The sequence below is a fragment of the Homo sapiens genome, chromosome 22 (assembly GCF_000001405.40).
Source record: "Homo sapiens chromosome 22, GRCh38.p14 Primary Assembly".
Taxonomy (NCBI): domain Eukaryota; kingdom Metazoa; phylum Chordata; class Mammalia; order Primates; family Hominidae; genus Homo; species Homo sapiens.
Window position 1 is genome coordinate 44,390,579 of NC_000022.11, and position 22,906 is coordinate 44,413,484.

General features: G+C 55.1%; 3 annotated features.

Annotated features, from left to right (window-relative positions):
* Window positions 726-1,604: an enhancer, noted in NCBI's record as "H3K4me1 hESC enhancer chr22:44787184-44788062 (GRCh37/hg19 assembly coordinates)". NCBI's record gives its function as "activates a minimal SCP1, AML or CMV promoter by ChIP-STARR-seq in naive H9 embryonic stem cells {active_cell/tissue: H9 hESC(naive)}" and the evidence as "EXISTENCE:reporter gene assay evidence [ECO:0000049][PMID:30033119]".
* Window positions 1,605-2,483: an enhancer, noted in NCBI's record as "H3K4me1 hESC enhancer chr22:44788063-44788941 (GRCh37/hg19 assembly coordinates)". NCBI's record gives its function as "activates a minimal SCP1, AML or CMV promoter by ChIP-STARR-seq in naive H9 embryonic stem cells {active_cell/tissue: H9 hESC(naive)}" and the evidence as "EXISTENCE:reporter gene assay evidence [ECO:0000049][PMID:30033119]".
* Window positions 4,809-5,414: an enhancer, noted in NCBI's record as "H3K27ac-H3K4me1 hESC enhancer chr22:44791267-44791872 (GRCh37/hg19 assembly coordinates)". NCBI's record gives its function as "activates a minimal SCP1, AML or CMV promoter by ChIP-STARR-seq in naive H9 embryonic stem cells {active_cell/tissue: H9 hESC(naive)}" and the evidence as "EXISTENCE:reporter gene assay evidence [ECO:0000049][PMID:30033119]".

Below are 22,906 nucleotides of genomic sequence, written 5' to 3' on the forward strand. Positions count from 1 at the left end.
TATTTTTCCCGAGGGCAATGGGAGCCACAGAGCATGTTCAGCCGGGGATGAGGCTGGCGGAGTTGTGTCTCGGGAAGTTCCACAAGCACCTGGTGGGTAACTAGCCGGAGAAGCCTGATTGGATCTTCAAGAAGGATGGGGAGACACGAGGGTGAGAGACCCAGAGAAATCTGCAGTGAGGCCAGGAAACCTAGGCCGGCTCAGCTGCCCTCCCCTTCTCTCTCCACCGCCCCGAGCAGAGCTAAGCTGCAGCATGAGAAATGGCCCTGCCTGGCGGCAGCTCTCCCCCAGAAGCCATTTGAAAGTGTTCCCAACTGAAAACACAACATTAAAAAGAGGAATTCAAACATAGTCAATTCCTCCCTTTGCTGGGTTTAGCTGCCAGGAGCATAATGATTTTCATTAATACCATCAGCTTTCCTCAAACTTGATTATAATTACTCTCCAACCCACATCCCCTTCTGAGGAGTGATGATGAGTGGAATCTACATTAATCAAATCCACTGATCACATCTGAATGTGGTGGCCTGAACTCAGAGCCTGTGGCCAATGGGAGAGGCCAGAGGGGATGGCTGGACGCCCTCTCTCCCTGGGGTGATACATCCATATGGATGGGGGAATGAACGGCCCTGATCAGCCGCCTCCCTGCGGCTGCTTCTGTCCACAGGGTCTGTTCTCATCCATCACCTGTGAGGCCCTCACACAGCTCCCAGTGGCAGGAATACTGTTTGCATTTTGAGACAAGAACTGTGGCGCAGGGAGGTCGTGTGACTTCCTGAAGGTGGCCCAGCCTGTTGGAAGTCAGTTGTAAAGCCAGAGCCTGGGAAACCCCAGGCCAAACTGCTTTCTCCTCTGTCCTGATGGTTCTCAGGGGAGCAGGGTGGGTAGGGGTGGGTGCTGGAAGGAAGAAAATGGCAAAGAAACGGGGGGCAGGAGGAAGTGGGAGGCGTCTTTCTGGACTACCCAGCCCCCTGGGAGAACATCCGGCGCCCTGTCTGGCCACCCCGGAGTCTAGGCACTGGCACCTGCCCCACCCACCCCTGCACAACAACGCTGGCCACTTGTCACTCTCCCCTCTGCCCTCTGTGGGGATTTTAAATGCACTCATGTCACTTGAGGCTCTGAGATTTGCCTGGCCCCCAGCCCCACCTGCAGCCCCTTCCTCTCCTCCACTCCCTGCTGCACTCCAGCAACTCCTAATCCTCACAGTCTCCCGGAACACGCCCTGCTCCCTGGCCCTCCCCAGTCTGTCAGGCCGCTCAGATATCCCTCCCAGGGAAAGCGCTTCTGATGGCTGCAGGCAGCCCCACTTCCCCTCCGTGGATCTCAGGCTTGTGGTTTCCATGGAGACGGTCACAGGTAAATCATGAAGTTGGGCACAGGTAAGTCATGGAGCAGCAACAGGTAAATCATGGAGCAGGAACAGGTAAATCATGGAGCGGGCACAGGTAAATCATGGAGGTGGGAACAGGTAAATCATGGAGGTGAGCACAGGTAAATCATGGAGGCGGGCACAGGTAAATCATGGAGCGGAAACACGTAAATCATGGGGGTGGGCACAGGTAAGTCGCCTTTCTAAGGTGCTGGCTACTTAGAGTTTTCCCATTGACAGAGTTGAAGGTTGGCAGATGGGTTGAAGGAGGCTCCGTGGCAGCTTCGCCACTTACCAGGCTGCCTCGGGCACGGGTTCACCTAGCTGGGCCTCAGTTTTCTCATCTGTAAGGTGGGGCAGTAAGAGCACCTACACCATGGGGGCACAGGCAGGGTGTTCGGCAGGCTCTCTGCAGTGCGGGGGTGAGCTGCTACCTTCCTCTCTGACCCTCATGTCTCTCTGGATGGCCCAATTGTCCCTCAAGGACTTCAGGACCTTGGGAATAGGGACTTCTCTTCATCCGTAAGGCATGTTGTGAGTCCCGGGCACTGCACCAGCTCTGATCAAAGAGCAGGCACACAGCTCTGGCCCAAGGCATATGCCTTGAGGGCCTCTCTATGGGGGCAGCGCCGTGGGCACAGTAGGGCCTCCTCCAGGATACGTGCTCTGTTGCATCACATGTGTGATGGGAGGGGCTCAGCAGGTACCCAGGTACCTTCTGTGGAGCTCTGAGCCCGGAGCCAAACCAGCCAAAGCAGCCAACACCCCAACCATGGGCCAGGGGCTGCCTAGCTGAGAAATGAGCAATAGTGCAGCTGACAGGCCAACCCCCAGCCCCAGCCCCAGCCTCCAGGGGAATAAACCTGTCAAGTCATCCCCTCCCCTCCCCAGAAGGAGTGGGTGAGCCACAGGTGCCTGAAGGATGACTGGGCCCTGATGATTAAGCTGAAAGAGAAGCAATGCCTTACTTAATATTTACGTAGGGGGAACAAAAGAAAAACATCATCAATCCATTTGCCAGGCAAAATAGCCTAGCCCCCTGCTAGGGTGGACTTACTGCCCAAGATGGCACACTGGGTTCACAGGACTCTGCCCTTCCCTCCCTGGGGCCGCCAAAAGCAGAAAGTGCTTAGAGAGAGGGCGAACTCCTAACTATGCTGGCAACAGAGAAAAGGGGCCTCCCTGTGGGCAGGACAGTATTGGGCTGGGCTGAGGAAGAGGCTGGAGTCGAATAAACCTTGACCAGAGGTGGGAGGAAGGATGGGTCTCCCTAGCTGGGTGCAGAAAAGCCCAAGTTGGGCATTACAAACTACTCAGGTCAAGACTGGCCGGGGCGCAGGAGCATTTGGGATGGCAGGTGCTCGCCTGGTTCCTCGTCTCTTTTGTTAACCAGAGTTGCTGGTGACAGGGACCTTTGACTTCCGGAACCCAGGGGCAGTGGGCCTGCGTGGAACTGCCTGAATGCTAGGTGGTAAGGATGAAGCAGAGGAACAAGAAAGAATAGCTGAGACACAAAGAATACTGAAGATGGATGAAATTAACAAAAATAGTGCAACGGGTGTGTTGAATCATCAGAGGCTCATCTGGAGATCAGGCTGGCATTCTGGAAGACAAGAGAAAGCACCTCTTTAGCACAGAGCAAAGTGACTTCGAGATGAGGGACGTGAACTGCAGGACTGAGGGGCAGGGGCGTCTGACAACGAGATTTAGCAGTCCTTTGAGAACAGCTCATGGGGGAGACCAAGGGACAATGGGGAAGAGGAAGTCATAGTTTGAAAAATAATAGGCCAGGCATGGTGGCTTATGCCCGTAATCCCAGCACTTTGGGAGGCCGAGATGGGTAGATCACATTAGGTCAAGAGTTCAAGACCAGCCTGGGCAACATGGTGAAACCCCGTCTCTACTAAAAATTAGCTGGGCATGGTGGCATGTGCATGTAATTCCAGATACTCAGGAGGCTGAGGCAGGAGAATTGCTTGAACTCAGGAGGCTGAGGCAGGAGAATTGCTTGAACCCAGGAGGCAGAGGTTACAGTGAGCCAAGATCATGCCACTGCACTCCAACCTGGGCGACAGAGCAAGACTGTCAAAATAACAACAATAATAATAAGAGTAACAGAAGAACTGTTTCCCCCCGAGCTGCAGCAAGATACATGTTTATGGATCTGATGCACCCGATAAGAGTTGAGCAGGACTAATGATGGAGAAACACCCACGCCTGGTGAAATTTCAGAATGACAACTGTAAGGAGAACATCGTGAAAGCTTACAGAGGGAAAGAGCAGTCTGGGACAAGGAAACAAGAGACGGGCGGGTATCAGAGTTCTCACAATCAGCCACGAAAGCCTGAAGGCAGTGGAGCCATATCTGCCAAGTTCTGATGGAACAGGTTTTGATCAGAGTTCTGTGCCAGCTGAACTGTCTTCAAGGATGAAGGCAAACAGAAGCTTCTCAAGATGAGGAGAAAGGCAGCTGGTTTACCCCCCATGCCCTTCCACATATAAGCCCCAGCCCAGGCTGCACGCACACCGCATTTAGGATGCATGCACAGAGTTTGAGAGCTGCTTGTAATTAAGCAGGGGCCAAGGAGAAGGCAGCATAGATCGGGGGACAGGGGCTTCCAAGGCAACGCAGAGCAGCTGCGAGACAAGAAGCAGGTGAAAACGCCTGTGCGGCAGTCGCTGCTGGGTGGATTCTCCTAAGCACAGGTTTTCAGGAGCTGGAACCACATTTCCTAGTCTGTGGGTTCAATCACACTCTGAGGTTCCTCAGGGAATGACCCCCACGCAATGCTAACATCGGCTTCTTTGTTAATTTCCAACGTGTAGAATGAGTCCATTGACAAAGGGCCGTCAAGCGATTTTTGGTTGTTCCACCTGGATTGCAGAGGCCCTCAACCTTGACCGTGGAGCTCCCAACCCTGATCGTGGAGCTGTGAGCCTGGGCAGCAGCCTGAGTGGGGAAGGGTGGAGGGGGGGTCATTTCTTCACCCTCTGTGCTGCTCGAGGTTGGCACATCAAGAAACTGAGACTAGGTTCTTTGCTCATGTACCCAGCGGCCTCATTTGTCCAGGCCCAATGAGGGCCAAGCACTGCTCCAGACACTGAGGTCAGAGCTGAGCTCAAGACGGAACTGGTTCATCTTCCTGTGGGAGGGTCCGACATGAAGCCCACCACCAACACAGGAGAGAAGCCCCACGGCGGCGGCGCGGATGGTGGGCAGGACTTCATCTGGGAGGGGCGCCTCAGAGCCACTATGCTGGGCACGCCCTGTGGACGGTGACTTTCAAGCCTGGCATGAATGGCAAGAAGGACCCGATCGTCCTGCCCGGGGCTCAGCCGGCTCGGGGGCCGGTGGGGGAAGTCTGCCCTGCCAGAGGAATTGCAAGGCGGCCAGCGGGGCTGGGAGGAAAAGCACAGGTGGTGGAGGAGGGGGCACAGCACGTGAAGCAAGAGGGGTGCAAGGTGCATTCAAGAGAGGTCCCAGGCCCAGGTCCTGCAGGTCTGGAGGCCACAGCAGAGTTTGGACCTGACCACAGCTGCTGTTGGGCATCGTAGGAGGCCTGAACAGGGGAGAGCCCTGGTCCAAGGAGCTCCCTCTGCCTTTGGCCTGCTGGGGACGATTCGGGCAGAAGGAGAGCAAGAGTCTGGGGCGATGGCCGGGGTCAGGCAGCAATGGTGGTCTATGCTTTAAATCATGGAGTCCATTGAAGCCCACAGGGAGAAGAAAATACCGTTGAGGTGAAGGGCACGGGGAGAGAGAGCAGGATGCATAGGGACCTGCCTGGGCAAGCCTCGCGTCTCAGAGCCAGAGCCCGCAGATAATGTGCAAAGATGATAAGGAAGAGGTAGAAGTGGATTATTTGAAGTTAGAAAGAGAGCTGATAGAATTAAAAGCAAAACAGAGAACAGCTGTTGCCTCAGGGGAGCGGGTCTCGGCAGGGGGATGGGAGCAGAGGCGGTTTTTACTCTTCTTTTCTACTCTTCCGTAAGATTTTATATGTATTCTACATAACCATGTGCATATGTAACTTTTTTAATTAAAAAGGGAGGGGGTGGGGAGAAACTAGAAAGATGTGGCTGTGTCACCCTTCCAGAACAAGCCAACTTAATGGCAGAGGAGGGGACGTGGTCAGGAGCATGTGCTGAGAGCAAGCCATGACTGTGAGATGGGCAGAGGTGGGGCTGTTGGCATGGGGTGGTCCGGGAGGCCCTCCAGGAGGCAGAACAGAGGCTGAGCGCAGGGGAATGAGGGCGCACCAGTTGACGAATGGGAGAGGGGATCAGAGGGATCAGCAAGCGAGAAACACTGAAGCCAAACTGACCAGGGACATGAGAGGTCCAAAGAAGAGATGGGAATCCCGGAGTAAGAGACAGGAATCCCCCCCTCCATGGGGGAGGTGGCGGGGAGGCGAGACGGGAGGGGGCTGTCTCAGGCCTGGTGGCCAGAACTTATCCCTGTGTCCTGGGCTATTTGCTTGATGGTGATAAGCCCAGCATCCTTCTATAATTCAGGGTAACACCGTGGCAATGGTAGCTCCTGTGGGTGCTTCCTCTGTGCTGTGCCATGCCCTGTGCTAAGCAGTCCAAGTGGATTATTTTGTTTTCTTCTCAAAGCACACTTGCCTAATTGTTCCCATTCTATAGATGACAAAACTGAGGCTCAGAGAGGTAAATTAGTGCAGAGTTAGTGGGCCGGTAAATGGCAGAGCTGGGACTGGAACCCAGGCAGGTCACTGCTGGCTCTCCAACACCACCCCTGATGGACTCTTGCAGGAGACAGGGCCATCCCCTGGGGTCCTCGGTCCAGCAGGCTGCACTGGCAATAGGGGAAGGTGGAGATGCAAGCCTCGCCCCTGTGCTCCTACAAAGAGGCTCCATGGTCCCCGAACCAGCTGTGTCCAGGGGGTCCCTGGAGCCTGAAATTCATTTCACTCATAAATACATTAAAACATCACCAGAAGCCTTCTCACTGCAGAGGCAGTTGAAGCATCAGGGAGAGAGGCAGAAATCGAGTCTGTGCAGAGGCTGTGGCTGGCTCCTCCCAGGCTGCCTGCTCAAGGCTCTTTGAGGAAATACTCAGTTCGGTAGCGCTCATTGAAGCAAAACAAAGCACCAGCAATGTCAGGAAATAATGAACCCAAATCACTCATTTTTCAGGACAACCATAGGTGCCCCAGTAGAGCAAGGGCAGCCAGTACCTGCAGCCTCCCTGGACGGAGAGAGGCTTCTGCAGGACACAGGCCATTTGCCTGCTTAGGTAACTCACGCAAACAAGGAGGCTGTGGCTTGGGGTGAAATAGCACGGGATGCGGTTGCGTGGGATGGGGTTCAAGGCCTGCATTTGCACCCCTCTGCCTTTGCCACATGACCTTCACCAAGTGAGTCTGCCTCCCTGAACCTGTTTCTTTCACTGTAAAATGAGGATAAGATGGGAGCTCTGCGTCATCATGGTGCTATCAAACCTGAGACTTCACGTGCCTTTGTGCTGTCCCCAGCCTCACAGGTCTCACAGGTCTCACACTTCCATTTCTAAGGATCGCACCAATCTCGCCCCCACCTCCAGGCCTTGGCACCTGCCACTTCCTCTCCCCGGAAAGCTGGTCTCCCAACTTCCCCTGGCCAACCCCAGCAGGTCCCAGCTTCAACATCTCTTCTTGGGTGAGGGTATTCCTTGCTCTCCCATCTATATTATATTATGAGATTGTTCTTTCCTATGACACCCTCTGTTCCCTGGACATCCACCTGCCCTGTGCTGGCTGTGGGGACCTGGGAGGAGCAAGACGCAGGCCGTGGCATGGAGGAGCCCACGGTCTGAAGACAGAGACCAGAGGCATTAACCTAGAAGTTGGACATCACACCAGGAGGACTCATTCATTCCTGTGTTGTCACACCTTGAGGGAGGAGTCAGATTTTAACAGGAAGACACAAGGAAAGGCATTCAGGGGAGGGAACAGCCCAGGCAAAAGCAGAGGAGTATCTGATTGCACGGAGGATTTGGGGACCCCGATAGTGTATTAGTCAGGGTTCTCTAGAGGGACAGAACTAATAGGATATATATTGCGGGGGGGGGGGGGGCGTTTATTAACTTACACTATTACGAGATCCCACAGTAGGCTGTCTGAAAGCTTGAGGAGCAAGGAGAGCCAGTCTGAGTCTCAAAACTGAAGAACCTGGAGTCTGACGTTCGAGGGTAGGAAGCATCCAGCACTAGAGAAAGATGTAGGCTGAGAGGCTAGGCTAGTCTCTCCTTTTCATGTTTTTCTGCCTGCTTTATACTTGCTGGCAACTGATTAGATGGTGCCCACCAGATTAAGAGTGGGTCTGCCTTCTGCAGCCTATTGACTCAAATGTTAATCTCCTTTGGCAACACCCTCACAGACACACCCAGGATCAATACTTTGCATCCTTCAATCCAGTCAAGTTGACTTTCAGTATTAACCATCACAGAGTCTTGTGTGACTGCAGAGGAAGTTGGGGCAGCTTATGGAGGCTGTGAAGGGCGTGATAAAGAGTGTAGACTTAAGCCCGTGGGTGATGGGGGCCTGAGGAAGTGAGTTTCTCAACAGTCCCCAGGGCCGGGCACGGTGGCTCATGCCTGTAATCCCAGCACCTTGGGAGGCTGAGGCAGGTGGATCACTTGAGGTCAGGAGTTCAAGACCAGACTGGCCAACACGGCAAAACCCTGTCTCTACTAAAAATACAAAAATTAGCTAGATGTGGTGGTGCACACCTGTAATCCTAGCTACTTGAGAGGCTGAGGCAGGAGAATCGCTTGAACCGGGGAGGCGGAGGTTGCGGTGAGCCGAGATCGTGCCACTGCACTCCAGCCTGAGCAACAGAGCAAGACTCTGTCTCAAAAAAAAGAATCCCCAAAAGGAATCCTACAGCGGTGAGTCCTTAGAATAACTGCAACTCACAGCAGACAGTGATAAACAGGGAGGGGAGCTGGCCGGTCTCCCAGGCCTGTCCCTTGAGACTGTCCCTGGGACTTGGGTTTGCAATGCCACAAATGACACATTGTCAGTCACCCAGAAATCCTCAGCTTTGGGACTGCCACGGTGCTCGTCCACACTGGCTGGTGGGTTCCAGGGCTTCGAAGCCAGGCTGGCTTGGCTCCCTGTCCCTCCCCTGGCGTCTGTGTGTTCCACGGGTTTGTGCAAGACACTTCCCCTCCATGCTTTCAGTTCACTTGGCTGCAGGGGGTCTAGGAGACAGCAAATGGGAAGGAGCAGGGTGGGGGCGGGAGGCTCAGGGAGGGGGCTGGTGATCCAGAAGGGAAGAGCAGCGCTTGCAAAAGCTTGGCATGGCAGTTTCATCTCACTGGAGTGCAGAGTAAAGCTGAGAGACAGTGGCAGAGGTGGGGCTGCAGAGCCAGGAAAGGGCCAGAAAGCAGGTTGGCGTTCTATCTGAAGGTGGAGGTGGGTGAGGTGGCTTGGGAAGCCAACCACCTGGAGAGGGATAAGAGGAGAGGTGCTTTCTAGCACTTGGAAGACGCCGGGTACCGTGCGGGGGATGGACTGGAGGGCCCACGAGCTTTAAACTTAGCAATGGAGATAAAAGGTACCAGACACAAGCTTTAAACTTAGCAATGGAGATAGAAGATGCCAAAGAGGAAGTGCAGGTGCGCTGCTGCGGCCTAGGATGGCTGGCGTACACATTCACCAGGCACTTGTGAAGGGCAAGGCTCTGTACAGCTATCAGCTCAAATGTGATCACGTTACCATGGACAGATATGGCACACCTGGGGCACAGAGAGGTTAAGTAACTCACACAAGGTCACACAGCCAAGGCAGTCCACATTCATAGCACCCGCTCCTAACCATTTGGCCATGCCTCCTGGGAGAGCCTACAAAGTGGCCAGAGACCAGCACAAAGCATATCTTTTTACCAGTGCCAATTTGCACCACACATGTTCATTACTATTATGGTTTCCCGCAATCCCTATGATATTTGCACAGCAGTTTACAGTTTGCAAAGCATCTCACCTACATTGCCTCCTAAGATCCATATAATAGCCCTGCACAGTGTTATTAATCCTGCTTTCCAGATGAGGTCAAGGGACCCGCCCCAGCTCAGGAGGGCAGCAAGGGCTGCAGGCACCCAGGGCTCCTTGCCAGGTCAGTCAACCCCATGGGGCTAGAGTTTGACAGTTGCTCACTAACAGTTGTCAGCATTCCCTGAGCTTCTCCTGTGTGCCAGGCCCTAACTGCCCATCCCATTAACTCCCTGGGCATTCCGGGCCTCAGTTTACAGATGAGGGCACTTGAAGCTCAAGGACCTTGAATCCACTGAACAAGGTCACCTGGCTAAGTGCTGGAGCTTGGATGCAAGCTCGATTCAGTGCCCGGAATCCTGGGCCCTCTCCCCTGCATCCTGCTGAGTGGACCCCTCATTGATTGGTGATTCTGAGTTGGCATGCTTGCCACTGAGCCCTCCATCCCATCAGCTCAGGGTGCAGCACCCCCCACCCCAGTCCTTGGCTCAGGATGGCAAGATCCGGAAAAACAGGATCTGAAATGGGCAAGAGTGTTTCCGTTACAACGGCCAGATGACATTCGTGCTGCTCTCCGGAGCAGAACAGCATTAACAAGGAGTGTGATGGGACCTAATTGTCTTCTGGTCTTTAATCACTTATGTTCCCCTCTCCTGACACACCTCTGTTGGAGCTAATTGGCAGGCGGTGTCGGAGCCGCGAGAGGAGACGCTTGTCCCTTGAAGTGGCTGGTCTTCAAGAGGTCATGAAGTTGGGGGCTGCTCACAGAGGAAAGTGTGACTCTGGGACACAGCCCTCAGAGTGCTCGCTGCAAGATGAGGGCCATAGCACTCTGGCAGGGGGACAAGAAAGGGATTCCTGATGTCTCTGCTCCTAGCTGAGAAACGGGGAGAGCTCAACTTTGTGGTCAGTTGGTCCAGGCTGGAGGGTTGTGGTTATATTAACCCACACGGAGACATTTAGGGAGCAGTGCAGTCTGGGAGGCCTCTGGGCAGGAGAATTCCTGGTGTGTTTTTTGTTTTGTTTTCTTTTTTTCTTTTTTTTTTGAGATGGAGTCTCACTCTGTCGCCCAGGCTGGCTGGAGTGCAGTGGCACAATCTCAGGTCAGTGCAACCTCCGCCTCCCAGGTTCAAGCTATTCTCCTGTCTCAGCCTCAGCCTCTCAAGTAGCTGGAATTACAGGTGCACACCACCACACCTGGCTAGTTTTTGTATTTCTAGTAGAGACAGGGTTTTGCCATGTTGGCCTGGCTGGTCTCGAACTCCTGACCTCAAGTGATCCGCCCGTCCTGGCCTCCCAAAGTGCTGGGATTTGTACAGGCACAAGCCACCACACCCAGCCGGAATTCCTGGTTTTTAACCACGACACCGTGCAACTCAAAAGAATCGCATGGCCCCACATGGCCCAGTTCTGCAGAGTCAAGCTTAAGGAAGCACAGGCCAGAATCAAAAGTAGACAACAATGAATTATCTTTTTCACTTGATTTTCTCAAAGCACATGAGAAGGAAGCCAAAAATTCCCCTTTTTTTCCTCTTTCCACAACCTGTAGCTTTCCCAAAGCGTCTCCTTCTCAGCCCATGCCCCTGAAAACATACACCCCTGTCTTCCTCCGCCCTCCTAGCTCTTCCCTCTCATCCGTTCTTCTTGCTCCCAGCTCATTATTAAACTTTCTTTGGCTCACCCCTCAGCCCATCTGATTATTGTATCATTTTCTCTGCACCCTGCCAGAGAAAATTCTCTACAGCAAAGACCAGAATATTCTCTACAACAAAGGAAGCTCAAGAACTGACCCAGGGAACAGATTCTTTCCCTTTTTTCTCCAGCTTCTGCCCTGTCTCAACTTTTCCATTTCTGCAGCTCAAAAATCCAGGCACAGGCTGGACCCTCAGAATTCTCCTTCGCGGTTTGGGAGTCGGAGCAGGTGAGTGGACAAACACAAGATTCTCTTTATGTGGGCAGGACAGGGAAGTCGGAAGTTTCTCTGTGCTACGGCAGCATGACTGTGTCATCATAGCCACAGTCCCTGCTTGAGAAGGGCTCCTCCACGTTACGCCCCATCCCGACTGCTCAATCAGCTGCCCTCTGCCCCCAAGGAGGCCTCTCTTGTGACAGAGAAACATGAATACCACCACAGGGCCACTGTCACGGGTGCTTTTCTGGAAATCTGTGCAGGTCCAGTTGGGAAGAGGGAGGAGGTCCAAATGGCTTCATGGAGGGGGTGATGTTTGAATTGGACATAGATATTTACCAAGAAGATGGGTGCCCTCAGAACTAAGGGAACGACAAGAGTCAAGGCTTGGAACCAGTATAGGGCATGAGGCTGGCAGTGGCAGAGGGATGGTGGAGGGTAACGAGGGACAAAGACGTCAAAGTGGCATTTAGGAGACAGGCAAGGAGGGGGCTGAAGGGAAGGGTGTTCCTGGCAGAGGGAACAGCATGTGCGAAGATCTCAGAGTGGGAAATAGTCTGGTGTGCTTGGGGTGCCTGGGGGGACTAAGGTGCCCACATCTGCCTGTGTGTCCACAGGGCCTGGGGCAGTGGGCGTGAGTGGCGAGGAGCAGCGCTGGCCACCTCTGATGCCAGCTGTCATGTTATCACCCTGTTTACAGCCCACACATAAGTGGTTTGGCCAAGACTGCAGTCAGGGGTCTGATGGGGGCCTCTGCCTGGATCTGCCTGCGTCTCAGGCCTGCAGGATCTCACACTTCTGGGCAGCCTCCAATCCTCAAAGCACCTGGAGAGTCCTGGGCTCTGAGAGCTCTGTTCATCCCTTCAGCACACTGCAAGGCCGGCTGCATGAGCTCACCTTGCTCTGGTGAACTCAGTGACCAGGTGTGGGTGGCCCCTTGTGCAAGCTTACTCCAGGGCCACAGAACACTCATGGGTCCCACTGGGCCACTGCCACCTGCTGAGGGACTGGTAAGGCCCTTCCTCTTTGGGGGTCTCATCTGCACAGTGGGGATGGCCACATGGAATCATCTGGGAGGAAGTGCCCAGCAGGGGCCTGAGCAGTGGGGGCCCCACACCTGAGGAGGGAATTGCCAGCATTCAGGAACCCCTGGTCATGGGGCCTCCAGTGCCCTTACCTTCACTGCAGGTCCAGGCTCAGATCCTGGTAAATGAGACCCTCTGGCTGGCTCTGTGCGGAGATGGCAAAATGGTCTTGGGCTGGCTGGCATGGGAAGGAGTGGAGAGCGAGGACCCTGAGGGTTCATGGTAGAGCCGGCAGTGAGGGGCTCCATGCCCAGAAGAGTTAGGCTGAGGACCCTGTGACCCCTCTCTGCCTGTGTGATGGGGGACAAGGACGTGAGCTGGACACCAGGCTGGCCGCCTTCAAGGCCAGCTGTGCTATACGTTGCAGGTGGCTTTGGACTTGTGCCCTGGCCTCCCAGAGCCTCACTGTCCTCTTAGAGAGTGGCAATGCCAGTGCCCTACCAGGCTGCTGCAGGGAAGGGGGAGATGGGCTCTGCAGAGGCCCAGAGCTCAGAGGGACTGGTACCACCATCAGCTGCATTCCCATCACCTGGGTGATGAGACCCCCCAGGACCCCAGGGGATGGCAGTGGGAGGGACAGTTGCTGCCCAGTCCCGCTGAGGCCTGGGGGACCCAAAGTGCAGGTGTAGGTGCCTCCAGCACAGAGTGGATTGGATTAGTGTGAATGGTGGCAAGGCTGGTCTCTGTGGGGATAGTGGCAGTGGGAGAAAAGAATCAATGAATTCACATCGGTGGCTTCTGTTGTACATTTTTGAGAGGGAGAAAGAGAAAATGCCCCACTCATCTGTATTTTAAATGAAGAACAGGAAACAGCCAATACATTTAAATTGCTAAAGAGGACACTTGAGTTTTATTTCACAGCCACTCAAGGCTGAGAGGAGGGAGAAGGGAGGAAGAAAGAGTCTAGAGAGAAAGAGAGGTGGATGTGGGGCGAGAGACGGGGGCTGCAACTCTCAGAGGAGGGATTCGGAGGAGACTCTGGGTGGACCCTAGGAGAACCTTGTGAGATCTCAAGGAGACCCTGGGAGGCCCCGGGAGGACCAGAGAAGATCCTGGTGAGACCTCTAGAAGACCTCCAAGCACACCCTCGGGAGATCCTGGGAGACCCTTCTAGGACACTCCAAGGTAGCCCTGGGAGGCCCTGAGGAGAGCTGGGTCTGGTCCTGGCAGGCTGGTGCCTCCTAGAAGCCATTCTGCCTCCCTGGCATTGCCTGAGGATCCCACCCAGGGCGGGGCACAGGGCATGGTTGTTGGAACAGGGGCAGGAAGGTAGGCCTGAAACTGCTGCGTCTCCTCCAGCTGTGTGGCCAGGATTTGGTGGGAGGTCCAACTGCTCCCGAGGCTCAACCAGTGGCTGCCAAACAGTGGTCCTCGCAGCCTGAGAGCTTCAGAAGGGGATCCCCCACGTGGGGAAGTCAGAGGGAGGCCAGACTGGCCCTCTCTTCATTCCCTCCTCATCCACCTCCAAACAGAGCAGCCCCTTAGAAAAGGTTTTATTTGAAAACCACCAAAAGAAAAGCTAAAAACCCATAAGGCTACAGTCTCTCCTCCAGGTTGCCATCGATACCCTCCAAAGTCAAGGGCTTCCTCTGAGTCACTCCAAGCACAGCAGGGTGCACAGGCCTCCCCGAGAGCTGCAGTCTCCTCCTCTACAAAGTGGGCATCAGTGCCCCAGATTGGGTGCGTTTCTCTAAGAGCAGAGCCTGGGAAAACAGTAGCCTGCCTTTCCCGAGAGCCCCACAGTTCCAAGTGATTCAAGCCAGTGAACTTATTCCATCCTCACCGAGACGCAGTGAGACAGGTGCTGCCATCGCCCCCATTGACTGGTTGGGAAATCGAGGCACCGAGAGGTAAAGTGACCGCCAAGAACTCATGGCTGATGTGGCAGAGCAGGGGTTCGCACCCAGGCTGTTTGGCTCCACAGCCCCTCGACAGACCACCCATGCACACAGTAGGTGCTCAGCAGTGGCCCCTTCTGAAGCAAGACGAGGACTGATTCATAAAAAGGAAACCAACTCTCAGTATAGGATGGGGGTGGGCGGGGGGCGACAGGAAATGAATGTTTTATCCTAAACTGACTTTCAGATTATTCCTCTTATATGTTCAATCATTCATTTTCTTGGCCAGGCGTGGTAGCTCACGCCTGTGAAACCCCATCTCTACTAAAAATACAAAAATTAGCCCAGTGTGGTGGTGGGCACCTGTAATCTCAGCTACTCGGGAGGCTGGCTGAGGCAGGAGAATCACTTGAACCCTGGAGGCAGAGGTTGCAGTGAGCCGAGATTGCGCCACTGCACTCCAGCCTGGGTGACAGAGTAAGACTCTGTCAAAAAATAAAAATAAAAAATAAAATCGGGCCGGGTGCAGTGGATCACGCCTGTAATCCCAGCACTTTGGGAGGCCAAGTGGGCAGCTCACCTGATGTTGGGACTTCGTGACCCACCTGACCAACATGGATAAACCCTGTCTCTACTAAAAATACAAAATTAGCCAGGCGCGGTGGCACATGCCTGTAATCTCAGCTACTTGGGAGGCTGAGGCAGGAGAATCGCTTGAACCCGGGAGGCGGAGGTTGCAATGAGCCGAGACCGAGCCACTGCACTCCGGCCTGGGCGACAAGAGCAAAACTCCATCTCAAAAAAAAAAAAAAAAATTCATTTTCTTAAAATGTGGACTCAGTTCTTTCCTTTTTGAGTTGGAGGCAATGTTGAAGGGGTCTAGGTCTCTGTTAAATGACCATGGGGACAGGTGGGGTCCCAGGTCCTCAGGCCAGCTGCAGCCAGGCTCCCACACATCCTTGGCACAAGCGAGGGTCTTTAGTGCATCAGCCCTCATGTCTGGGGGCTGCTGGGGGCTGTTCACACACCTGCAGAGAGAGCAGGTGGGCCCAGGCTTCATGGGCCTCCTGCAAGTGACATCTGAGGTCACTGGGTCCCTGTTTACTGCCAGAGTCACTGCCCCAGGCCTGGGGTGACCAACCTCTCTCTCCTCATTCCTTCCCCTCCCTGTGCCCCCCTGGGACCCCTCATTGCCCTTCTTCTGCCCAGCCTCCTCCATGTTCACAGGGTGAGAACCTCCTCGTGCATCTTCACACACCCATCTCCCTTCATTCTCCCAGGCCTCCTGGAGGACCGGCCCAAGCAGGGATCACCTGCCCATTCCACAGATGGATACACGGAGGCTCATGGAGGCTAAGGGATGTGTCCAAGCGCATATAGCTACAAGACACAGGAGCCTATTTGGGAATACAGGTCTTTCTGTCTCCTGGTCTGCACTGTCTGGAAGTGGTGTGTATGGGCAGGGATCAGAACATCTTGAACAAATGCTTCCTGCGCAGGATTCATTTCCTTAAATGTCCTCTCTCTGTCCAGGGTCTTGAATTCTTGGGAGACAAGGACGTATTTAATGTGGGAGAATAACCTCTCTCCCTGCAGTGATTTCAACTGGTTGGTATTGAAATACCTTCCTAGCCTAAGGGCACTGGGGATGTGTATTACTTATTTTGCGAATTATCGTGAACTAGAGTATTTGTGAGCCACCTTTAAGCCACCCGGCCTCCCCTTCCAGCTGCCTGCTGTGTGGCTCTCCTGAGCCTCCGTGTCCTGGGGCTCCACAGCCATGAATTATTAAAGAACAGGACAATTATAATTCACATAATGAGATCAGAGGTTCCTAGTTACTAGTTAATTTAGAGCTGGTGCCAGAGGAGCTTGAAGGAGTTCTCAGGGAACAACTCAAGTGCCGGGGAATTGCCTTTGATGGGGTCCTAGGGCTGTGGACCCTCCGCAACGTCCAGGCCCAGGGAGGGAGGGCAGCTTGCCCAGCAAGTGGCAGCAGGGCTAGCCAGGCTAAACAATGAACGGCACAGACTTTCTCGTCTCCAGGTCTTTGCCCAGGCAGTGCCCTCTTCCAGGATGCCCTCCACCCATTCCTCTGCCTGCTAAAATCCCATCCAGCCTGTGGCGCTCCTTTATGGGGCCACCTCCCCTGCGAAGACTTTCCTGTTCCGTCATTCACACACAAATGCTCCTGGCCTCATCTCCATTCCTCTTCCTGAGCCCTGCTAAGCTGGGAGGAATGCCATTACCTAAGTACTGACGTCCCTTCTTGACTCTGAACTTGAGCTTGTCTTGCTGAGATCTGCACCCTCAGGGCCTGGCCTGGCTCTGTACTTAACAAACCTCCACTCTCCTGTCCAGGGAGAACAGGCAGGGGCCTGTCCTCAGGAGGGACAGCCTGGACAGGCGCAGATGTGTGAATAAACTGGAGAGAGTGCTGAGGACACGTGTGGAAGATGCGGTCACCCATCCCCATTCCCCACTCCCTCCCTGCACTGTGTGACCTCACGGTGCCCTCCAGCAGAGTTCAGTGGGGGTCTACACTCTCATCCTGCTGACTCGGAGCCTGGCCTTGTGGTCTGCTTTGGCAGATGGAACAGCAGCCGAGACACACGAGCAGACCATCCGCGAGCTTACGTGGTGTGGTTTGACCCGCACTCTTTGGTCACCATCAAGAGAAGAACAGACCCCAGCGTGAGGCATGTGGAGCCATCCCGAAACTGACTCACAGCCTGGAGCCAAGTGCAGCTGAGCTCCGTGGAGCCCAGCCATCCCCAACCAGGACGGCCAACCCCAGATGGACCACAGGCCCGGGAGTGAGAGAAACACACGTGTGTTGCTGTGAGCCACCGAGCCTGGGGGACTGTTTGTTACAGAGCAATGTTACAGCAACCGCAGACCCATGCAGTGGAGATGTGTGTGGTGCAGGAGCAGAGAGTACCCCAAACTGGATGGGCAGAAGTAATCTGAATGAAATGGCTGGGTGGTAAAATTCACCAGCACATCCACAAGACAGAGCTTACCCTCTGCACCCACAGCCGGGGTAAGTGGGTTGGCAGTGCATGGCACCAAACCCGGAGTCAGGGGGCTCGGGACATCCAGAGGAGTGCTCAGGGGCAGCACGCACAGCAGAGGCTTGGTGCTGAAGGCTGGGCAGGTTTGTTGGAGTGACCAGAAGACACCATGGGGTTTTTACTCATTTGCACTAACATATAGAATGCTGTATCATTTTGCCTATTGGTGTATTTTTACAGAGCCTTGTTCCTTTCCAAAGTGCTGACTGGTTAAATTGTAAGACAATGTTTGCAAGCATGGCACACTGAGCCTGGCATTCTGTCAAGTGCCTGATAAGCAGGGCCACTGTTGTGATTGTAGGAACGTGCCTTGGTTTTCAGGCCTTTGTTACAGCACTTGCAAGACCTTGTCCCCAGTCCTGGCGTCCCGGTTATGGAGGTGGGAAAATGACCACCACCACCTCTGACTCTCCTAGCCTTCCTGGGCACCCGCAGAGGCTGCACCCGGTCAGATGGAGCTCTTCTTCCAGCCTCGTGGGTCTATGGACAGCTCTCAGGAACAGGCCCACGTGAGAGGCGTCTGGGGGAGAGGCTGGGTGTGCACGTGCGTTCATAAGTAGGAAGCCAATTAGCCAAAACAGAGCAGACACTCCCAAGACCAAGACCAGCGCCTGATGGTGGTGGTTTTGATGATTTACAGCCATGCTTGCCTCAGCTCTGCCCTCAGCAGGCTCTCCCCATTGTATGGAAGTGATCAAGTGCCATGGACCAAAATCCATCCGCCTGTGGTGTCGGCCAGGATTCCGCAGGGCAGAGGCGGCACCAGAAATGGGGGTGCGGAGGCTGCTTCTGCGGGCATCACGGCCACTGTCCTAGGCAGACGGGGTTGGGATGAGTTGGAGCTAGGGCGGTGGTGCCCACATAACCCTTGTAGGTCGCCTGACATGTGTGTATGTGTGTGTGTGTGTGTGTGTGTGTGTGTGCATGCAAATGTATGAATTCAATAAGCATTGTTGCACACCTACTGTGTGCCAGGTCCCATGCTGGGAAGTAATCAGAAGAAGACATTATCATGATGTATACAGCGCAAGGGCTGCCACATCCCTCATCCCTGTCCCGCTTCCCACATGTGATCTGTCCATCCTCCCACAGCCCAGTAAGGAAGGAAGCATTGCGGCCATTGTATCCACGAGCAGACTGAGGTTAGAGGAGCCCAGTGTTCTGCCAAGATTCACACGGCTGTGGAGCGCGCAGCAGGAGCCTGGGTAGGAATTTCAGTCCCAATGATGGCAGTGATTCAATTCCTGGTCCTAGTGACACAGGCCACATGGAAGGACTGGAAGTTAAACCAAAGCTGGAAGTGGGGTGGGTTTCCTGGGGCAGGTTCACAGGGTGGCTCCTGGGCAGGGTTCCTTGAAGACACAGGGGAGAGAAAGTCAAGGAAACCAGCTCCTGGGACGCGACCAGAGTGGACGGCGAGGGAGGTGGGGTGGACACCTGGCCCTGGGCAGCCTCAGGGTCCTGGGTAGCATTTGCAGGAACTGTGTGCTCCGTTCCAGACCCAGCACTGGCCGCCTGGTGTTTCCTGACCTGCCACAGTAGAGAGCAGCCCAGACGAAGTCTGGCCCTGCTGAGCCCAGCAGCCCTCACACCTGTGCTCAGCCAAGCCAGCCTGCTGCAGGAGTTGGCTGCGGCTGATGCCAGCTCGCCCTCAGGCCGAGAAAAATCCATCATGGCTAATCCCACTCCCCCAGTGATTCCTGAGCTGTGTGCCGTGGAAAGGCTGGCCCCAAATCCTCTCTGGCCTCCCCCCAGCACCAGCCTTCCTCTGCGAACCGGGGCGGGTGAAAGCCGCCAGCAGGCCCCTCCACAGAGGCCATCTCCCCGGCATCCTGCACAATTGCTCTAACTGCTTCTCCTGCAGGTGAATACCCTTTCCTGGGATCAGACACAGAAAGCTCTTTAGGCAGAAAGCCAGGCCTGACAGCCCCTCTGAGCACGAAGACAAATGAACCGAGCTCCCAAGGCGAGTCCCCTCATTCTACCTTGAGTCCATCGGGCCTGGCTCGACTCCCAAAGCAGCGCTCACCAAAACGAGTTTCTTTGGTGAGCCTGGAAGTGTGACACAGAACTGGGGAACTAGAGACCCACCCAGGAGACCGTCTCCTTGGATTTCTCCCCATCTTGCAAAGAGAATCTTCCCCAGCCAGTGCTCCCGAGAAGAACTGCAGTCCACCCTCCACAGGGTCAGAAGCCCAGTGCCTTCTGGCCTTGCCCCACCCAGACTCCGGAGCAGGAAGCGGAGGCCTTTCTCCTCCCAAAGGCATGGGCTCCTTGCAACCCAGGGCAGCAAAACTTTTCCACCTGGTTCCTGCTAACCCATTATCCTGGGGCCAGCATCTCATTAAGCCAACAGGACTCCAATGTTTTGACGGAGGAAGAAAGTATTCCAGAATGAAAAGGGCAGGCTGTTCCCCGCCAGGCTGGGGGCATGGAGAGGGAGCCGGAGAGCGAGGAGAGCTCAATGCCTGTGCCAGGATTCTTAGAGCTGAGGGAAGATGCAAGAAACCAAGGGAGCTGGGGCTCCTGCCTCCTCCCAAAGCCTCTTTCCCACCCCTCGGCCCGCATCCCTTCTCCAAGAGAGCAGGCCCTTCAGGGGCACAAGGAGGCATCTCTTACCTGTGCCTGGGCTTGTTGCTGTCCAGTACGCAGAGGGCAAGGCTGGCACCGGGAGAAGCGGCTCCAGGCGTCCCAGGGACCTGCTGCCTCTTTTCCAGGGAGCAGCCCCCAGCCCGCTCTGTGCAGCTCGTCCCAGCTCAGGGCATAGATGTGTGTGTGCCTGTGGAGGTGGGGTGCCCTCTGGAGCAGGGGGTCAAATATTCTTGGCTGCCACCTGCTGCCAGCCCATCCCAGGGGCCAGCTGCCTGAGAGGGGGGCCCTCCGGCTGCGCCACCGTCATCTGTGGGGAGTGGCAGGCAGCAGCTCTAGCTCTCCAGGCTCCTGCCTGCTCCCGGGCTTAGGCGAGTGGTTTATTTATAGAGCCCGGCCCTTCCCCAGATGCCAGGATCCCAGCTGAGATTTCCAGCTCTCAAACTCGCCCGTGCCCGCCCTGAGTTGTTGCTCACTGGGACTGTTCTGGAGGACAAGGAGCGAGGCACTTAAGCAATGTGATTCTCAGCATTCTCCCCTGAGAAGCACAGGGCTGGACCGGGGGTCTCCCAGGCCCTCCTGCTGTGGGCAGCACCTGACCCAGGAGCCAGGCCTGTGAGTCAGCTTGGGCAAGGTGCTTCCCCTCCCTAGGCTGCCTCAGTTTCCTTTTCTGGAAGATAAAAAAGACAGAGGGTCTGCCTGTCTAGAGCAGGGCTGGAATCAAAGAATGGACTGGAAGGAAGAATGGCCACCACCGTCCACTCTGTGCTTCTCCCCGGCTGGGCTGAGGCTTCGCGAGGGCACCACTGTCACCCCCAGGGGCTACTCCATAGGAGATGCACATAGTAGGTGCTCAAGAATGATTTAGTAAGTAAGGGAGCAGACACCCATCCCACATACAGGCTCGCTTCCGGCTTCTAATAACCTGCGAAGGCCCTGGAATACGCCCATTTGGCAGATGGGAAGCCCGAGGTCTAGAAGGGTGAGGTGGCCTTTCCAGGGCCCCCCAACAAAAGACAGTAGCACCATGGTTCCCCTGGGTCATTCTGTTTCCAAAACTCATTCCCTTACCACGCCCTCATCAGGCCTCACGGTTAGCTGAATGTCCCCTGCAACGCTGCCGTTTTCCGAGTCTGATGTATAGTTCAGGGCTCACCCACCACCGTGGCTCCTGCGATCTCTGCTCCTCGCTCCTGCCAGCCGACCCCCGTGGGCCAGGCCCTCTGCGAACGCGTCTGCCTTCCCGAGGAAGCTCTCCAGTGTGCCAGGAAGGCTCCTCCCTGGTTCTGGCTGTTTCTCCTGGGCATTTCCCCCATGCCTGGGGCGCCCGGGCCCTTCTCCTGACCCCGCTGGGCCTCACTCTCGCCTCTCAAACCAAACAGTGATTCCTCCTCCGGGGCCAGTGAGGGGCTTGTCTGCCTTCTCACAGGTGAAGACGCCAGACTCACAGGGCGCCCGTGTTTGCTCATCCGCTTTGACTCAGCTCACCGGAAAGAAGTTTGCTAATCTTTGTGTGTTTGCTCCGTGTGCTGGAGCTAACAGAGCAACCCGACCCTGGTGGGTTCCAGCTTCAGTGCAGAAAGAGCCTGGGCCGGGCTGTCCTCCCCAGACACGCAAGCCTGGGTGCAGCTGCTGGACTCTGGGCCTCCCCACTACCCACTTGGCCGGTGCTCCCCCCGTGCCTGAGAAGCCACCTTCCTCCGTTCCTTCCACTTCTCTGCCTGCCAAGATCCCACAGGGCCTCCCAAGCCCAGACCCGCCTCCTCTGACCTCTGGGCACTGGTGGGCCGGTCTCTCAGGGCCCCAACAGGGCTGCGGACTGGGAATGGCCCCCTTGCTCCTCTCCTGGGGAATAGGAGGCCGGCTGCCTGGATGCTGGGACAGCAGGGACAAAGCTCAGAGGTCTCTCCCCGCATGGAGGCAGATGTGAACCTCCCCAGGGCCTCCCCAGCCTCTGGGGCTCCTTGGAAGCAGAGCAGCGTCGGCTCTCACTCCTCACCCAGGACTGTCCATCCCTGGGCAGCTGACCCGGCCCAGCCAGTGGTCCCTGCTAGGACCTGTCCTGCAGGAATAGCTGGCGAGGCCGGGGGAGCACGTCCCTCCAGAGCACCCAGCACCGCCCCATGCCCTGTCTAAGCAGGTCACCCCTCCCTGGTTGTCTCTCACAGTCCCTGATTCCGGAGCACTAGTCCTGGAGAACTGATGTGCTTCCGTGACCCCAACTTGCTTGACCTGGTCTCTCCCGTCGGGATGGACACTCCCCGAGCAGGTCCACTGCTTACTCCGGGCTCCCAGCGCCCTCCGTTCCTGCTTCCTGGTCACAGGAATGAATCTCCTAAAAAGGGTTAAGCGAATCGTGGCTGTCACACGATGCCATGCCGTGCAGCCATCGCATACTGATTTCTGAGTAATATTTAACATCAGGGGAAAATGTTACAACTTGACGCCAAATGAATAGATTACAGACTGTCCATGTAGGATGGTCTCAGTGTTGTTTAAGATCTATGTTAGACCAGGCACAGTGGCTCACGCCTGTAATCCCAGCACTTTGGGAGGCCAAGGCAGGTGGATCACCTGAGGTCAGGAGTTTGAGACCAGCCTGGTCAACATGATGAAACCCTGTCTCTACTAAAAATACAAAAATTAGCCGGGCGTCGTGTCAGCTGCCTGTAATCCCAACTTTTTGCAAGTTGTTTTATTTACAATGCCAACTTTTAAAAGGTCGCTCAGGTGATCTGGACAAGATACTAGGCAGAAACCACTTTAGAAAAAGAGGGAAACCCAAGGTGCCCCTTTCTGTAAAGAAGCCACAGTTCCGTTGTATTTAGAGCAAAGAAAAAAGAAACTTTTGACGATACGAGAGGAAACTCAGACATAGGTTTGGAATCTGTACTCAAAACTACACACGCAATGAAGACAGTGTCCTGCCGTCACGACTGATCTGCTGCTGCACCTGCCCGTGGTGTGTCTAACATTCGCAATGACAGAGCTGTGCGGCTGGTATTCGGAACCATCCTCACAGTGTTCGTGTCAGATGCATTTCACT